Source organism: Homo sapiens, chromosome X (assembly GCF_000001405.40).
Source record: "Homo sapiens chromosome X, GRCh38.p14 Primary Assembly".
In the NCBI taxonomy this organism is placed as follows: domain Eukaryota; kingdom Metazoa; phylum Chordata; class Mammalia; order Primates; family Hominidae; genus Homo; species Homo sapiens.
In genome coordinates this window covers 53,586,628-53,605,671 of record NC_000023.11, presented here as the reverse complement: position 1 = coordinate 53,605,671, position 19,044 = coordinate 53,586,628, and the positions used below count along the sequence as shown (strand labels likewise).

The window sequence follows — 19,044 nt, the reverse complement described above, 5'->3', positions numbered from 1 at the left end:
TCTATTTCTGCAAAACCAAAACAAAAAACAGCATTGGAATTTTGATAGTGATTGCATTAAATCTGTGAAACTCCTTTGTTAGCTGGGCTGCAGAGTGATAAGTAATTCCTGCTGAATGAGAAATCCATTTGCTTACAGACTTGGAAAGATCCATAATTGTGACGTGACTTCATTTAGTTTATTTTGTTTTACTCTTTGAAATATTGAATTAAATGCTCTTCATCACAGAGAGGGGAAAATATCCTATAAGATGCTGTGGAAGGATAGATAGATTTATTTAAAGCCATAGGAAGGCACATGATTTCTCCTATCTTTGCATGGCAAGTGATGGTGTTTTATTGTCAGATTTTTCTCCAGACTTGAGAGGAAATCACAAGGGTCGTATAATCCTTGGGTTGTCTGATAAAAACAAATTGCCTACCTGATTCCTATCTCAGAATAATCGCTTTTGTTTTAAGAAGAAAAGAACAGTGTAATAGTGACTCACTTCCATGCTTTGGAACTTTGCCTAACATTGTTTCCTATCGAGCAAAATTTGGAATTAATCCTATAGTGTAGAATCCTTGCCGTAACAGTATTCAGTTTGACCATCATAAGCTTTTAAGTGTTATTGGCTCACCAAGTTTGAAAGTAGTGTGTTGCTCTAGAAAGAGATGTTAAGGTATGTTGTACCTGACTTCATATTTGGGTTCCACCATTTACCAGGTGAGAGACCATGGCCATATCCAAAATCTGAGAGGCTTCCATTTAATTGTCACTTCCATTGTGACTATTAAAAGACATGATGAATTTGAAGTTCATTGTATATTAACACTTTAATTATTCTTCCTGTTTCAGACACTGTCACATGAACCCAAAGTCCTTCAAGAGGGTCTCCTTCAGTTGGACTCCATCCTCTCCTCCCTGGAGCCCTTACACCGCCCCATTGAATCCCCTGGGGGCTCAGTGTTGTTGCGAGAACTGGCTTGCGCAGGCAATGTTGCTGATGCTACCCTCTCAGCCCAGGCCACACCTCTGCTGCATGCACTCACTGCTGCCCATGCCTACATCATGATGTTTGTTCATACTTGCAGAGTTGGACAGGTAAAAATAACCTTAGGGGTGAACATATTAATTTAAAGGCAGTGAAATATCTAGGGCATACACCTAGCAGGGTTACTATGCTTGAAAGGAGGTCTGCCTGAGGTAGCAGCTAAAAGAACAGTCCAATTTAGGATGAGATTTTTTTGACTGTCAAAAAGTTGAGTGACTATATAACTTATTATGTGATGAAGTGGACTTTCTTGAGAGCGAAACATGTTATTACAGACAAACATCAATTGGGTATTCATCTGGCCTTAGTACTTTCTAATCTTTCCACCAGTCCTTATAGGTCTGATAATGGGATGGCATAGGTAGGACATTTTACCAAAGAACATTTAAATCAATAGTAATTAACAAATTACTAAAAATTTTCTACATATCAAACGTTTGACCTGTAATCCATAATCCATAGTTCCAGAAAGAAGGCATTTTGTGTATGTCCTCACAGTTTTACTACATTTATTCCTCAGATAATTGATTCTAAAGATTTATGGTATCAACATTAAACAAAACAGGGTTCAACAGCCCTGTTTTATGCTATTGAGCAGGAGTGTGTTCTCTGTTAATTGTGAATCAATCAAATCTGAAGTTTAAAAAAGCACAAGTATAAAGGATTTAGAAAATTAAATTACTTAACAAAGCTTAGGGATTGATTTTTATGACTTCTTTATTAAATGAAATAAAATGAAAATGAAACATTCAAGGAATTAAATAAATCTAGGTACTTACTGAAGTAAAGAAATTGAATGGAAATAATAATACCCCTACCAAATAATTTAGAAAGTAGTTAATGAACCTGTAAAACCATTTCTTTGATTCAGAAAAAAAGAGTAGCCTCTGATGCCTTTCTTTCACTTTATAAAAAACAATGAGAACGGATGTTGTGGAAATAGTTTGTAAATATTGTAAGAGGATACCTTGTGGAACTGTCGTCTTGAGTGTGGACATTTTGATGAGGTGGATAACTCTGAGAATAGCAATGAAGAAAAATCCCTTACCCTTATAAAACTGTTGAAGGTCAATTTTTTTTTTTAAGTATAATTGTTCAGAGAACATCCCAAAGGTGAAATTCTTGTTATGATTGCAGAGTGAAATTCGTTCCATCTCCGTAAACCAGTGGGGCTCTCAATTGGGTCTGAGTGTTTTGAGCAAGCTGAGCCAGTTATACTGTTCCCTGGTGTGGGAAAGCACTGTCCTCCTCTCTCTGTGTACCCCAAACAGGTAAGAGAATGGCTCTCTCTCTTATTACTTTGTTATCTAAGTTCGGTGAGCCTGGAGGATTGCTTTGGTTGGGGATAGGAGGGTATGGAAGAGAGTTCAGAGGCCTCCTTGTCCTTCCCTCTTCCCAGCCTAGGAACTTGATGACAAATGCTTTGTCGTCATGGTAGATGTTTAAAATGTGTTCCTGTTATTAGCCAGATACAAAAAATTGAGTTGTGGCTGGACACGGTGGCTCACGCCTGTAATCTCAGCACTTTGGGAGGCCAAGGTAGGCAAATCAAGAGGTCAGGTGTTCGAGACCAGCCTGGCCAACATGGTGAAACCCCATCTCTACTAAAAATACAAAAAATTAGCTGGGCGTAATGGCGGGCGCCTGTAATCCCAGCTATTTGGGAGGCTGAGGCAGGAGAATTGCTTGAACCCCGGAGGTGGAGGTTGCAGTGAGCCCAAGATCATGCCACTGCACTCCAGCCCAGGCGAAAGAGTGAGACTGGGTCTCCAAAAAAAAAAAAAGAAAAAAAAAAGAATTGGAAAGCTTGTGGGGTGCTACCTCAGGAATTATAGATGCTTTATTACATTCAGTTTAACCTGCCTGCTATAGGAGGGATAGTGTCAGCCAAGCAAATTAGAGACCATTTACAATATAAGAGGTGAATTATCAGTATATATATATATATATTTCTTTTGCTCAGCATTTCTCTTTTTGCAGCCTACCATCTGGGTGTGAATTTGGCCAGGCAGATATGCAGAAACTGGTTCCAAAGGATGAGAAGGCAGGTACGACCCAGGGCGGAAAAAGATCAGGTAACTCTAAGAAACTAAAATGTTAGTCATTACTTCTAAGTTTTGTTCCTACGTCTTTATAGGTTTATTATGAAAATTTTTAGTTAGTTCTATCATCCATAGTCTAGTTTTCATCCTCTCACTAATTTTTAGTCATTTCTTCCATAAAAACATATATACATAATGGTAAAATTTAGAAAATGTAGTTGAAAGAATTACCCGTATTTCTGCCACCAAAAAAAAAAAAAAACATTTTGGAAGTGTCTGCCCGTCTTTTTTCTCTGAATACATTTGCCAGTGTCTTAGATAAAAACATTTCGTAGATCTCTTTCTTCACTTAATGTTAGGTACCATATAAAGGTACACGAATTAACTATTCCCTGTTAAGTTTCTAATATGCTATTTTTAAAAAATGAACATTTTTGTATCTACTTTTCTACAAATGTAAAATTGATTCCTAGAAATTACTGTATCAGAGGGTATTAACAAATACTTTTTAATGTGGCTACTAGAAAATTTAAATTATATATGTGTTTCATGTTATATTTCTATCGACAGTGCTGTTTTATAAAGAAGATTGCTTTTATATTATCTCATGATAAAAATTCCAAATTTTGGCCGGGCTCGGTGGCTCACGCCTGTAATCCTAGCACTTTGGGAGGCTGAGGCGGGTGGATCACCTGAGGTCAGGAGTTCAGACCAGCCTGACGAACATGGAGAAACCCTGTCTCTACTGAAAACACAAAAAATTAGCCGGGCGTGGTGGCACATACCTATAATCCCAGCTACTCGGGAGGCTGAGGCAGGAGAATCGCTTGAACCTGGGAGGTGGAGGTTGCAGTGAGCCGAAATCGCGCCATTGCACTCCAGCCTGGGCAACAAGAGCGAAACACCGCCTCAGGAAAAAAAAAAAAAAAAATTCCAAATTTCAGTAAGTAGAAATCATACACAATTTTCTGACTCTAATGCTACAAACCTAAAATGAATACAAGCAACTTTTCCAGAATGTTTTTTCTCTGGTGTTCAGTATCAATGAGGAAATAAAAAAGGATAAACTATTAAGAAAGCAATGAAGATAATTCTGTGTATAAAAATGCATCAGGCCAGGCACAGTGGCTCACGTCTCTAATCCCAACACTTTGGGAGGCTGAGGCAGGTGAATCGTTTGAGCCCAGGAGTTCGAGACCCGCTTGGGCAACATGACGAAACTCTATCTCTACAAAAAAAATACAAAAATTAGCCGGCCATGGTGGTACATGCCTGTAGTCCCAGCTACTAGGGAGGCTGAGGTGGGAGGATCGCTTGAGCCCAGGAAGTTGAGGCTATGGTGAGCCATGAGTATACCCCTGCACTCAAGCCTAGATGACAGAGCGAGACCCTGTCTCCAAAAAAAAAAAAAGGTATCAGGCTTAAAACTTGTACAGAAATTACTAGAAAGGGAAATTTCTAAGGAACTAATAAAGCTGACATAGGCTTAGAACCAACAAACAAGGACTTACATATGACAGCTGGTTATTGTGAGGGATGGGATAACATTAATAAACTATAAAGAAACCTGACAAAATGAGAATTTCAAATTTAGTCAAAACATACTAAATTTAACTCAGGGAAAGAATAAATTGACTAAGAACTGAGAATGAAATTAGATTCACTGTCAAAGAATTGCCTCTCTAACAGATATATTTTTTCTAGCAATTTAACACATTTAACAAAAACGACTCAGCTTCTCCACAGTTTTTCTGGAATGTTAAGAGAACAACTTGGTGACTTGTTTTATAAGTTTGCATAAAGCTCATTCTTAGATCTAAGAGCAAGCATATACCAAAGAAAAAGACACATGTCACATTCATATACATAATTCTTAAATGCTAGGAAATAAAATTGTCCAGTGGTAATCTGTGATGTCTAGTTTGAACTTAACAAGCTATAACATTCTAGTAGGGCATCCACATTGACAGCATTGGGTACTGTGCACACTGTAGTCCATGTGAATGGTACCCCCTGGGTTGGGCTGTGCCTACAACAGTCTTCCAAGGTAGCCCTGGGTTAATACTATTCATATGCTGTCATTTGAAGATGTCAGCATTAGGTACTTAGAACTCCAGAGGAGCATATCAGTAAAATATTTGGGTCGTGTTTTTGTTTTTCAAATTTAGGAAGCCATGGGAATTGAAAGAGTAACAAAAACCATAGGTAATCTTGTCAGTACTTCTCAAGGAACCAGGTAAATGTTGGCTCTACATTGTCCTATTGCTCCCCTCTTATACATCTGTAGATGGGGAACAGGATGGAGCAGCTGGAAGTATGGATGCTTCTACCCAGGGCTTATTAGAAGGCATTGGGCTAGATGGTGACACATTGGCTCCCATGGAGACAGATGAACCTACTGCTTCAGACTCTAAGGGCAAATCTAAAATCACACCAGCAATGGCTGCCAGAATTAAGCAAATCAAGCCTTTGTTATCAGGTGAGTCATTCTCCTTTCTCCTACCTTTTCTGGCTTTCAGTCCCTTAGTCTTGAAACAGATTGAGTTGGAAAGGCTATGTTGTTTCACCTAAGGAAGTTTAAAACTTCTGTGACTCATTTTTAAGTGTCCTTTGTTGAGTGGCTGCTATGTGACAGGCTTTGTACTAGCTGCTACGGATACAGACATGACAGAATCCCTTCCTGAGAGCCATATCTACTACCCTCCCTTCTTTAATTTCTTCCTCCTACTTACTCTTCAACTATTGCATATTGTTGCTGCTCCTTCCATTTCACTGAGATGTCTCAGCAAGGCATCTACAACGTCCTTGTCCTAAGTCCCTTCTCACTTGTCTGCAGCATGGTAGTTGACCCACCATCTCCATCTAGAAATATTCTTCCTTTGGTGCTTGTGTTATTAAGCTATCTTGATTCTCGGATAACTATCTGGCTCTTCCACCTAGTCTTCTCTTTTTGTGTTCCTTGAACATAACTGGCAAGAGACATAGTCTGATAGGTGTTTTATATTAAAGTCACTTTGGCAGCTTTATTGAGACTGTATTGGCAGCATACAAAACTGCATTAATGATTTGCACTGGTCTGTTTGCCCTTTTTTTTCCCCTTTAATGTAATACCAATGTTTGGGAACCTATTTGTGTGTTCGTAAATTGTCGTCACTTTCTGGCACCTTAATATAGAGGAAAATGGAGACCTAACTTAGAGGAATCTGGGGCCCTTCGTAAAAGCAAACAGAAAATGGCCTTTGGTGTTTCCATTTGTTACCTCAAATTCCCATTGCATTTTACATTTTACTTTTAATTAGTTTAATTCTCCATTTATTTTAATTTGAAAGTCTACCAACATTACCTTCAAAGGAAAATTGACCAAGCAAGAAGATGTTCATATTTCTCTCTCCTTGCTTTGTCATATTTCTTTGATCTTGGAGCATTCAGAGGTTTCTGTGTGAACCCAGTCCATATACTGTTTCTCTTTGGTTACTGGCCTTTTGCCATCCTCTTGTCTTTGGACTACCTTTAAGCACTTTGCTATCTGTTCACCTGAAAGCAGTGGTGAGAAAGTGTAAACCCAATGATTGGATTCATTAGGTTTTCAAAGTCTGGGTATACCCATATCTGTAGACTATTCCCTAATTAGGATAAAGAAATCTTAATTTGGATGTAATAGGAAGAAGAAAGGACTGTTTTCCTTGTTCCTATACTGTATACATTTGAGCTTATTACTAAATTTTAGCAGGATATGTAACCTAGGCTCAAGTAGAGCCTATTTTTACACACTGAGTTTATATGTGCATGTATATCCTGAAAAGACATAGATTTAACCCTTGAGCAACATGGGGGTTGAGGCAACTCCTCCACACAGTCAGAAATCCATGTATAACGTTTGACTCCCCAAAAACTTAACTACTAATAGCTATCTATTGACCAGAAGCCTTACCAGTAACATAAACAGTCGATGGACACACGTTTTGTATATGTATTATATCCTGTATTCTTAAAGTAAGCTAGATAAAGGAAAATGTTAAAATCTTCAGAGAAAAATATATTTACTATTCATTAAGAGGATCATCATAGAGGTCTTCATCTGGGTGGTCTTCACATTGAGTAGCTGAGGAGGAGGAAGGAAGTGGGGGGATGTTGGTCTTGCTGTCTCTGAGATAGCAGAGGCAGAACAGGTCAAGGAGGTAGAAGGAAAGGCAGGTATGCATGGTGTAACTTTGTGGAAATACACAGTACTTTCTTTCTGACTTGGTTGCTTTTTCATTTCTCTAAAAATGTGTCTGTACAATACCAATTTTTCTTCCACCGTTTGCTTTAGTTTCGGTGCCCATATCATAGTAAGGTCCACATCATAAAAAGTCAAAAGTATTCTTTAGTAATCAGAACCCTCTGCCAGATTGTCTTATGTCACTTTGGTTCCTGGCACTGCTTCTACATCTTCTTCCTCATCATCTGGTATCGGTTCAGAAGCACTCATCTCTATCAAGACGTCTTCTGTTACTTGCTCTGGTGTGGTGTTTATTAGCTCTTGAATTTCACTGAGATTCATATCCTGAAATTCTTCACCCATGACCTTTTTTTTGCTATATCCACAAACTCGTGATTTCCTTGATTGGCGCTGTCATAAATCCTGTTAAGTTCTGCACAATATCAGGACAGTTTTCTCCAACAGGAATTTATTTCAGGCTTGATGGCTTTTTCTGTGACAATGATGGCATCTTCAGTGGTGTAATCCTTCCAGACTTTCGTGATGTTCCCTCTGTCAGGGTTCTCTTCCACAGCATTAACAATCCTTTCCTTAGAGTACTGTGTGTAATAGCCTTAAAGCCCCTTATGACTCTCTGATCTAGAGGCTGAATTAGAGATGTGGTTTTGGGGGGCAAGTAGACCACTTCAGTGCCTTTTGTGTTGAATTCATGGGGCTCTGGGTCACCAGAGGCATTGTCTAATGTCAAAAGAACTTTAAAAGGCACTCCCTTACTAGCAAGGTACTTCTGACTTCAGAGACAAAACATCAATGGAACCAATCCAGAAAAGGGGTCTTGTTGCCCAGGCCTTCTTGTACAACCAAAAGACCAGCAGCTGGTAGTTTATCTTTCTCCTTCAAGGCTCGGAAGTTAGGAGCTATATAGGTAAGGGCAGTCCTGATTATAAACCCAGTAGCATTTGCACAAAATAGAGGAGTGAGTCTGTCCCTTCCTGCCTTAAATCCTTCTGCTCACTTCTATTCCTTACTAATAAACGTCCTTTGTGGCCTTTTTTTTTTTTTCCTTCAAAGTAGGGCACTTTTGTCTGTATGAAAAACCCTTTCAGGCAGATACCCTTTCTCAATGATGTTCTTAGTGGTGTCTGGGAACTTATCTGTTGCCTGTTGGTTGGTTGTCAGAAGCTGCTTCTCCTATTATCTTGACATTCTTTAAGCCAAATCTCTTTCTAAAATTATCAAATTATCCTTTACTGGCTTTACATTCTCCAGCTTTAGATCCTTCACTTTCCTTTTGCTTTAAGTTTTCATATAGTGAGTTCATTATTTTCTTGAATTGCATTAGAATCTATAGATTTGTCTTTATTATGGCAATCCTGTACCCACATAAACGTGCATTTTCAATATGAAATAAAAAGATTTCACAAAAGTGCAAGGTTTTCAAGCCTGCTGGTGTAGCTGCAGCAACAGCTTCACTAATTTCCTTTTGTTTGTTTTACAATGGTCTTTACACTGAATTCATTTTTCCTGAAGTGGTGGGCAATCTGCAATCCATATCAAATAATTCAACTTTTTCTTGAAGTGTCATGACTTTTCCCTGCTTCTTGGGAGCACTTCCAACGTCACTAGTGACACTTCATATGGGGTCATAGAGTGACCCAGGTTTATTCCAGGTTTTCAGTATTGCGGTAAACATGAAAAACAATGCGAGAACCATGAGAGATCACTACACAATTTACTGGAGAGATGAACTGTTCATGTAGAAGTGCTTAGCCTCACACAGTGTTTTAAGCAGATTGTGGCAACACTTGAGCTCACCACAGTATCAGCAGGTCGTGGCTACAAAATTATTACAGAGTATAATATGTACTAAATTTTATCCAGTTACTCAATACTGCTTATTTACTGCAAATGGCACCGTGTATAAGTGTATGTGCATAAGTGTGATAAATATTAAATTTTTATAATTTGTGTATATTTTATGGTAGTAAATGATAAAATAGACTAGTATCTACATATATTTTATGCGTTTATGACATACCTAACTTTTTGTTAATTTTTCAATATTTTGAGGCTACATGTTTCATCTGAGAGTTTTTTCAAATTGTCACCAATCTCCAAAATTTTCAGTATATCTATTGAAAAAAAATTCACACATAAGTAGGCATCTATAGTTGAAAACCTGTGTTGATCAAGCGTCAGCTGTACTTTGATTCAGACCTAGCCCTTCTTGTCTCTGGATCATGAAATAACGTTTCATGAAAAAACGTGAAATAACGTTTATTTTTAAAATGCTATGGCAACATTTTCATTTATGATTTTAAAAGTATATTTCATTGTAGAAATATAAAAACACATGAAATATTTAAAGAGAAGCTGGAAAGCACTCAGTTTTTTGTGTTTTCTTTTACATATGTTTATATTTGTATGCTGCCTTTTCCTTGTTGAATTATATATTGAAAAGCATCCTATGAAATGGAAAATTTGAGATGTCCATAATCTGCCCAATTCCTTAAGAAGCTACTTGTAAAAATTTTCCTGCTTTTCCTAGTTTATTTTTTCCTCTGGGACTACATATTTTTTGTTGTGATCAGACTATGTATATTGTCAGTGATCTTTTCTTATCTAAGTGGCTAATCATTTTTGGCATTTTAAAAGTTTTCTGTAGGCATTTTAAGTGACTTTATCATCCACTAGATATCATTTAACTTAAATATGGTTTCAATTTATGTTCCTCTAGCAGTATGAGTGCTTATTTGTCTTTTACATTTGGTATCTGTTGAGTGCCACATATCTGTCTCCTACCGTCAAAAGTGGCATTTGTTCCTTGTGGGACTTCCTTTTTGGATTATTGAATGTAGAACAAATCCAAGTGTTAACTAGGGGTTGTAGGAGGAAGTGGTGAGTCATAAAAATATGTTAATGGTAATATGTCTGTTGTAATTAAACCATTCTGAGAATACTGTACAGTCTTATTCTGATTTCTGGGTTTCAGCTTCCTCCAGATTAGGCCGAGCACTTGCTGAGCTATTTGGACTTCTTGTTAAACTTTGTGTGGGATCTCCTGTCCGCCAGAGAAGGAGCCATCATGCTGCCAGCACCACTACAGCACCGACACCTGCCGCGCGATCAACAGCCTCAGCTCTCACTAAGCTCTTGACTAAGGGGTTATCTTGGCAGCCCCCACCATATACACCTACTCCCCGATTCAGGTGAAGTTCAGCTTGAGATTCAGGGACTAGAAAGTTACAATAAAAAATATGTAAGTTGTTCCTATACTACTTAAAATGGAGTGTGAGCCACTGAATTTGAGAATTTGGAGGTCCCTTGTTTACTCTAGAAAATGAAGTGTAAGTTACTTGTTTTGGTTGTACCTAGTACAGAACATGGGTAATATTTTAAGTATTTACAGTCAAACTGCATTTCAGTGGTCTTATATAGGTAGTATCCCTTATCCAAAATGCTTGGGGCCAGAAAGTGTTTTGAATTTTGGAATTTTTTGGGTTTTGGAATATTTGCGGAATACTTATCAGTTGAGCATCTCTAATCTGAAATGCTCCCATGAACATGTACTTTGAGCGTCACGTCAGCAATCAGAAGTTTCAGATTTTGGAACATTTTGAATTTTCTGATAGGGATACTCATCCTGTATTCTTTAGTAGGTGGGAGGTGTCACTTCAGTGTGTAAATTTTACTCTTGCCTTTTACATGAATTTCCTATTGCTTCTGTCTCTGCTTTACAGAAGGTTAAAGTTTTGCCTTTTTTTCCACTTTCAGGCTGACATTCTTCATCTGTTCAGTTGGTTTCACATCCCCAATGCTGTTTGATGAGAGGAAGTATCCCTACCACCTCATGCTGCAAAAATTTCTCTGCTCCGGAGGCCACAATGCTCTTTTTGAGTAAGGATCAAGTTGCTTCACAGAGGAGCATTTCTTGGAGTTTGATCTTTGCTGTGTGCCTTCCCAGCCCACTGCTTTTAAGTACCCTATCTTGTAACAGTGGGATATATAGAAATAGCTATTGGTTGTATCCTTCAGTGTTCTGGGAAGTAACCATGTTTGTCTCCATTTACCTTGGAGGGTAGGATTTAGCCTCCCCTAGAGTTGTGTTTGTAAGGGTCTCTGCTTTTTCTCATGTGGCTTCCAGTTCCAAGTATGGGTTTTTAAAATAGGTTTGTCTTTTTCTGTTGTTTCTCTGAATATAATTTTTCTGCTATTCTTGGTCAGATGATTTCAAGATGAGTTTCACTGGTTTAGGTTTTTTTGTGTTTTTTTTGTTTTGTTTTGTTTTTTGTTTTTTTTGAGATGGAGTCTGGCTCTGTCGCCCAGGCTGGAGTGCAGTGGCGCAAACTCAACTCACTGCAAGGTCCGCCTCCCGGGTTCATGCCATTCTCCTGTCTCAGCCTCCCGAGTAGCTGGGACTACAGGCGCCCGCCACCACGTCCAGCTAATTTTTGTATATTTAGTAGAGACGAGGTTTCACTGTGTTAGCCAGGATGGTCTCGATCTCCTGACTTCGTGATCCACCCGCCTCAGCCTCCCAAAGTGCTGGGATTACAGGCGTGAGCCACCGCGCCCAGCTGGTTTAGGTTTTTAAGACTCTAAAAAGTAACGGAGGAGAGGCGGAACAAAAGAAAAAAATAGTATAGCTGAAAACTGTTGGACAGATTAGACGTAATAGCTCTAAGAAGAGGGACGTGTAGGGCCAATATAGAGATTGGGGACCTTTTAGATGTAAACCCCCCTTGCCAGGGTAAAATACTAATATTCTGTCTACTTTTCCTTATTTGAATTTAGAACTTTCAACTGGGCTCTGTCCATGGGAGGTAAAGTTCCTGTTTCTGAGGGATTGGAACACTCAGACTTGCCTGATGGCACAGGAGAATTCCTAGATGCCTGGCTTATGCTGGTGGAGAAGATGGTGAATCCCACCACGGTGCTTGAATCTCCACATTCGCTGCCTGCCAAATTGCCTGGAGGTGTCCAGAACTTTCCCCAGTTCAGTGCACTGCGCTTCCTTGTGGTAACTCAGAAAGTGAGTATTCAGTATTCTAAAATCAAAAGGAATTTCTCATGCTAAGTCGTTCCCACTCTATTTTGTCCTGCTTAATGAAATAACATGCTTATTTAAGAACCACTGGATCCAACTCCCAGATAGGGCTGCCTTACGTAAGGGAATATAGACCATTTGAGAATTTTCCGTGATAAACATTTGAGCTGTAAATTTCAGATTGGTACTTGCATTAGGCCGTTCTTGCATTGCTATAAAGAAATACCTGAGACTGGGTAATTTATAAAGAAAAGATATTTAAGTGGCCCACAGTTCTGCAAGCTTTGGAAGCATGGTGCTAGCATCTGCTGGGCTTCTAGGGAGGCCTCAGGAAGTTCACAGTCATGGCGGAAGGTTAAGTGGGAGCTTGCATGTCACATGGCAGGAGCCAGGAGGTGGAGGGGGTGGTACACACTAACTCACTATCATGAAGACAACACTAAACAATGAGGGATCCACCCCCATGACCCAAACACCTCCAGCATTGGGGATTACAATTCAGCATGAGATTTGGGCAGAGCAAATATTCCAAACTGTATCACTGCTTAAGGTTGAGTAAAATGCCTCTTCTCTGTGCCTCCTTAGACCTCCTCATGTTGGCCAATTATTTTGTTGCTGGTACTAGTTGTGGAAGGACTGTTCCATAGGTCTTTAACTTAATCCTTCTGAGCTTTGAATTGAAGCAAAATGATTTTCACACACTTTTCAAATTACTTACAGGCAGCCTTTACTTGCATCAAAAACTTATGGAACCGGAAACCCCTGAAGGTATATGGTGGACGAATGGCTGAATCGATGCTGGCCATTCTATGCCACATCCTCCGAGGAGAACCTGTGATTCGAGAGAGACTAAGCAAGGAGAAGGAGGGGTCTCGAGGAGAAGAGGATACAGGGCAAGAGGAAGGTGGCTCCCGCCGGGAACCTCAAGTCAACCAGCAACAACTGCAACAGGTAGGGTACTGGCCTCACACTCCAGGGTCCAGACTTTGCACCCAATGGAGTGTGATGCTTACGGATTTTCTAAGCTCACATACCACTGAGTCCCTGGTCACATTAACCAGGAGACAGTTTAGATTTCCTCCTTCTCTTAGTATTTATTTTTTTTCTCCTGAGGAAAACTGGAGTATAGTCCTGATGCTCTGCACAGGTAATACTCCTTTCAAGCATGTTGATGAGTATTCTCAGTAGCCTCCTGCTGCCTCAGTGGAGGCAAACTGTCCTCAGTTACTTTCTGGTTAACCTGTAAAGAGAATGGATATTGTGAACCAGATTTATTCTCCAACAAGAGCTTTCTGAAACCTTAGTCACCTACAAAACTTTTGTTTTCACTTGCAAATAAAATGTATAAGGGGCATTTTAAAAATTGGGAGGCCAGAAAGAGGAGAGGGGAAAGGCATGTAAAGTCCTGCCACTTCCATCTCAAAGAGCATTTTAAGATTTTCTTCCTGGAGTTTGTATGTATGTGTGTCAGCTTTTATGTCTGGAGTCCTGTTCAAATCTGTCTACTATATACACTTGTCCCGTTTTTTATCATTAAAGTAATAAATACTCTCATTACCAAATTTGGAAAATACAAGACTTTTAAAAGGCATTCGTAATTTTATCACACAAGATAGTCATTGTCTCCTTTTTCAGTCAGTCTTGTGCCTAATTTTTACGTCGTTAACATCAAATAATACATATACTTGTATTGCTGTTATCAAGAACTTTTTTTTACTAATTGGTCATTCTTTTATTGTTGGATGCTAATTTTCTTACAGTTTGATGTTTTAACACTGTGTTGTATAGTTTCCTTACGTACCAATCCTTACATACATCTCATGATTATTGCCTGGTAGTAGATTAACTAGGTCAGTTTTTCAGGCACTTGCTCTGTTACCAGTTTGTTTTCCAGAAAGTTGGGACCAATTTATACTTCTTTGTATGAGTCTCAATCTTTTAATTATAATAACCCTGTTAATCATAATAACCATGCATCCCCCCCTAACTTTCTTAGAGGATGAAATCGAGAATCTTCTTGGCTCCTTACCCAATGTGTAGCTTAGAATGCTATAGAAGCACCAAACAGAAAGGATTGTTCATTTTACCTAATTGCCCTAGCTCATAAATGCTCTCAGCCCAGATGAAGTTAGAAAAAGTTATTTCCATCTTGAAAAGGTTCCTTCCTTTTAAAAATGTATTTGGATTTCCGTTATGTGATTCTGAGCCCTTGCATTCTTTATGTAGCTCATGGACATGGGCTTCACAAGGGAACATGCAATGGAGGCACTGTTGAACACCAGCACCATGGAGCAGGCCACAGAGTACCTTTTAACCCACCCTCCTCCAATCATGGGAGGAGTTGTTCGGGTAAGTTGGCTCAGAAGCAGTGATTTTCCAGGATATTGGTTTGACTGCTGAAGTCCTTTTTCCCCTTATTATTCTGTCATTGGTCTTCCTTTCTATAAACTGCTTCTCATTTTCAGACATGTCCATGCCAGTATTTTCTTTTCATAATAACAGAAGTTTTCTGTCCCCCAGCAATACAAATTACTATACTTTGTTTGCACAAGAACCCCCAGTCACAAAACAATAGAAGAGGCACACTTTTCTAAGATGTAGAATAGATGATCACACTGTAAGCCTCCTTCCTATACTTAGTTTTACGTGTGATTTTCCTCATCTGTTCTTGTTTGTAGTAACCACATAAGCCTGATAGGGTTTGACTTATACAAGAGCAGCATTTTGAGGCCCTTCCTCTCTCTTTAGCTTGAGCACAAGATGTCTGATTGCCTGTGAGTTGCAGTGGTCTTGTTGGGTTTCTTTGTTTTGAGTGTGTATCCTTACTGGATATTCTCTTAACACTCTAGGATCTCAGCATGTCTGAAGAGGACCAGATGATGAGAGCAATTGCTATGTCTCTGGGACAGGATATTCCAATGGATCAAAGGGCAGAGTCACCTGAGGTAACTATGGAACACTGCATCCTAAAGGGCTTGGCACATGAATCTTAGTATTCTGTGAACATTCTGCTAGTATTGCAAACTAATTGATAGAATTCAAATCTAAAGGAAGACATGAGAAGAGTACTAATTCATCCCAGCTTTGCCATCCATTATTGAGCTACCTTGTATTGACCTGAAGCTTTAAGGGAGGCATATGAAGCGTTAATCTTTATTGTCAAATAAGAGACCCAATGTGTACTCAGTAGTGCCATTAGGCCGAACTTGGCTGTATATTTCTAGGTGACAGTTACTTTAATTTTCCCTGCTGGCACAGAATATAGAACAGTGTCTAGAAATGATTTTGCGGGAGGTAGTATAGAATGCTACAAGTGACTTGACAGTGAAAGTTGTTTGAAGCATCCCTCCCTTCTACCTTCCCTGTCTTGCCTTAAACTTTGTGGCTGCCACATCCTGGATGAAAGTATCAACCGCTTGAGGAGAAGGTTGAGGGTAATCATATGGTAGAGCAAAAACATTCTCAGAGTCTCTCTTATCTTTCCTCCTTCACCTCTCCTGTGTATTATTCACACTTCCTTCCCTGCTTCCAGGAAGTTGCTTGCCGGAAGGAGGAAGAGGAACGGAAAGCTCGGGAAAAGCAGGAGGAGGAAGAGGCTAAATGTCTAGAGAAGTTCCAGGATGCTGACCCGTTGGAACAAGATGAGCTCCACACTTTCACAGATACTATGTTGCCAGGCTGCTTCCACCTTCTTGATGAGCTGCCAGACACAGTATACCGTGTGTGTGACCTGATCATGACAGCAATCAAACGTAATGGAGCAGATTATCGTGACATGATTCTGAAGCAAGTAGTCAATCAGGTGAGCTCTCAAGGGGTCAGAAGAGGGGAGTATGTGAAGTGGTTTGCCTGCCTGTGTCAAAACCTGATTTCTGAAAAATCAGCATATTTTCATTCTACCTGATATGGGTATATTCTCTATTTGGATTCTTTCGATCTGGTAATCCTGAAACAGTGTGTTAACTACATCGCACACACAAAAATGTCTTTAGAAGGGAAAAACAAAGCTCTCCTTTTCTACTTTTCTCTTAAAATGTCTAAAATGTGCCTCACCCTTGAGTCAGGTTCGTCCCCTGGACTAATACTGAATAAATGTTTTTTCCTATGTAACAGCCGCTTGAACAACTGAGTCCCCATCCTGATGAATACTTGTGACCTGATATTTGTCCTCTTTTTCTTTTCTCTCATTATGAAATTATGCTAATTATAGAAGTGGGATAAGAAAGGAATTACCTTAAATCCCCACACCCAGATAGCCAGTTAACATTTCGATTGTATTTAAGTTACTGGAATCTTGTTTTATGTAATGTTTCATTCTAGAAGCAGGGAAAGAAATTAAAAAAGGGAAAACTTTTTTCTGGGCTTTGTAAAATAGAACTTTAATGCACAAGAACACAAGTAAAGGAAAACTGGATAAAACATTTTTTCACAGAAAGTTTTAGTGTCTATTTTTTAACAATAATTCTGAGAGAGAGAGATAAAATGAAAGATTGCTGATGGAAGTATAAGTTGATAGAACCTTTTTGGGGTTGACTGTATGCACCAGGAAGTTTTAAAATACTCATTTCCTTTAACTTAGATTTTAGGCTGCTTATAGTCTAGCCTAATAAAGTAATTGTTTAGTGGTGATCCTTTAGTAGCATACATCTTTTGATATAGATTCTAAATCCCTATGGTAAATATGTTAGATTTACCTACCTTTCTTTAGTGAATGTGTTGGAGGCAGAGGGAGTATTTTAAAAGGTTGAGAATATTTTCAGAAACCTCATCTTGCTCTGCGGTTCCGTGACTTAACCCTTTTTTTGCTTTTCTAGGTGTGGGAAGCTGCTGATGTATTGATCAAAGCTGCTCTTCCCCTGACAACAAGTGACACAAAAACCGTGTCAGAGTGGATAAGTCAGATGGCCACACTGCCCCAGGCCTCCAATTTGGCTACTAGAATCTTGCTTTTAACGCTACTTTTTGAGGTAAGATTTAGATCTTTGGGGCCTTGTAATTCATTCATGAAAGAATTATCAAACACTTAACATATATGAGGCATTGAAGACGATAAAGCGAAGAATAAGGCATGAGTCCTGCATTTCATGAGCCCAGTTTCTGATAGGCTGAAATGCATATAATTACGTATAAAATACAGCATTCTGTGTTAGAATGATAACAGTTTTATCTGGGTTTAGGAAAGTCATATGCATCACTTTGGATTCATGTGAGAAGGGCTTCTGAGAACAAGCATTAATTGAATTGAGTCAGAATTGTGAGGTGGTAGTTTAAAAAAAAAGTATTTAAATTACTAACAGAGCTTGGTCATAGAATATTTTTTGCTCTTCTGAGGAAACCTAACTGGCAGCCACATAGTAGAGTAGGGTATGCAAATTGGATGTGGTCAATATTGAGGTAATAGACATTAGATGAAATCAGATTCCTCTCTCTTTTCCTTGCCTATTTAGTCAGCAGATTATTTGAGGCAAGAGAGTGGTTTGGGCAAGACCTGATCCAACCAACGTAGGAACTAGGAGGCAATTGACCTTGGACAAATGACTTCATTTGTGGCTCATTATCTTTAAAACCTGAACTTAATGAACTGAACCCTTTACATACAGCAAACTCAGGGGATAAATCCAATATAAGAGTCAAACTGTGTAACAGCTGTCTTGGGGGTTTCCTTTATCATGGAAGTGATAACTCTTACTGTAGCACTTTGTAAATAGATACTTGTGGGAAAGGTTTCAGAGTACTAAAGAGAGAATCATTCATGGACCCCCATCTAAAACAAATCACAAGTAACAGTCTTGTATTTTCTTTTAGTGTTTTTTCCTGTTCATTTAAGCAATTGGGATAAGACTGTATAGAAAGTTTTATATTCTTTTTGTTAAGTATTATGACTATTTTCCCATTTGCTATATACATTAGTCCATCTTTTGAATGTTCTCTAATTTATTTAAATAATTACCTATCCTTGGACATTTACTTCCAGTGATTTCCTGTTAAAAGTAACACTTTGGTGTAGCCCCAGTAAGACGAACCATTAACTGTGTTTAATTATTCCATTTTCCTTGAAAGATTATAAAATTTCTCTGTAAATCTAAAGCTTTACAACTTCAACATAGACTGCACAACCTTGGTGATAAACCATTTCCATATTAAGCATATACATTAGTGCCAGGCACTGGGTACTTTATATTAATATATATAAAACCTCAATCATCACAATTATTCTGCAGGTAAAAATTATTTCCTCTGACCCATGAGGAAACCAAAGCCTAGAAAATTTAACACATCTTAGATTACACAACTGGTAAATGGTAAGAGGTAAAATTTGAACTCAACCAATTCTATTATTATTTACCCTTATGTTCCCCTCCCCTATCCCATGCTAATCTTTGTTACTGAGTAGAAATTGGTATCTGGTTGTTGTTGTTTTTTCCCTTTGATCTATCAGGAGTTGAAGCTACCTTGTGCTTGGGTGGTTGAATCAAGTGGCATCCTTAATGTCCTAATCAAACTCTTGGAAGTGGTTCAGCCCTGCCTCCAGGCAGCCAAGGAGCAGAAGGAAGTCCAGACCCCAAAGTGAGTAACCCTATATCTACCCTAGTTTCGTTTCTATTTCCCTGGGACATGGGCCTGAATCAGGCACTCTTCTGGGGCATGTATGGGGCAAATTTGTGGTACTTCTGTAGTTTTAAAATTATAAAGGAAGCATCTGATGAAATTAAGATATATT

At 38.8% G+C, this 19,044-nt stretch overlaps 1 protein-coding gene across 50 annotated transcripts in view, besides 1 other annotated feature; it reads left to right on the top strand.

Moving 5' to 3' along the window:
• The window catches only part of HUWE1 (HECT, UBA and WWE domain containing E3 ubiquitin protein ligase 1), a 154,624-nt gene that overhangs the window by 81,048 nt on the left and 54,532 nt on the right, over positions 1–19,044 (top strand). For all 50 annotated transcript variants that reach the window (NM_001441048.1, NM_001441051.1, XM_047441751.1 and 47 more), the window contains 13 exons: positions 838–1,083; positions 2,171–2,304; positions 3,014–3,108; positions 5,363–5,554; positions 10,269–10,485; positions 11,051–11,173; positions 12,071–12,308; positions 13,044–13,274; positions 14,550–14,672; positions 15,173–15,268; positions 15,856–16,125; positions 17,138–17,290; positions 18,763–18,890. In NM_001441048.1, the coding sequence (NP_001427977.1) occupies positions 838–1,083; positions 2,171–2,304; positions 3,014–3,108; positions 5,363–5,554; positions 10,269–10,485; positions 11,051–11,173; positions 12,071–12,308; positions 13,044–13,274; positions 14,550–14,672; positions 15,173–15,268; positions 15,856–16,125; positions 17,138–17,290; positions 18,763–18,890 (2,246 nt within the window). The remainder of the gene's footprint in view (positions 1–837; positions 1,084–2,170; positions 2,305–3,013; positions 3,109–5,362; positions 5,555–10,268; positions 10,486–11,050; positions 11,174–12,070; positions 12,309–13,043; positions 13,275–14,549; positions 14,673–15,172; positions 15,269–15,855; positions 16,126–17,137; positions 17,291–18,762; positions 18,891–19,044) is intronic.
• Positions 12,195–13,394: an enhancer, noted in NCBI's record as "BRD4-independent group 4 enhancer chrX:53619238-53620437 (GRCh37/hg19 assembly coordinates)". NCBI's record gives its function as "activates an origin of replication core promoter dependent on BRD2, P300/CBP, MED14 and CDK7 cofactors, and independent of BRD4, by STARR-seq in HCT116 cells {active_cell/tissue: HCT116}" and the evidence as "EXISTENCE:reporter gene assay evidence [ECO:0000049][PMID:35650434]".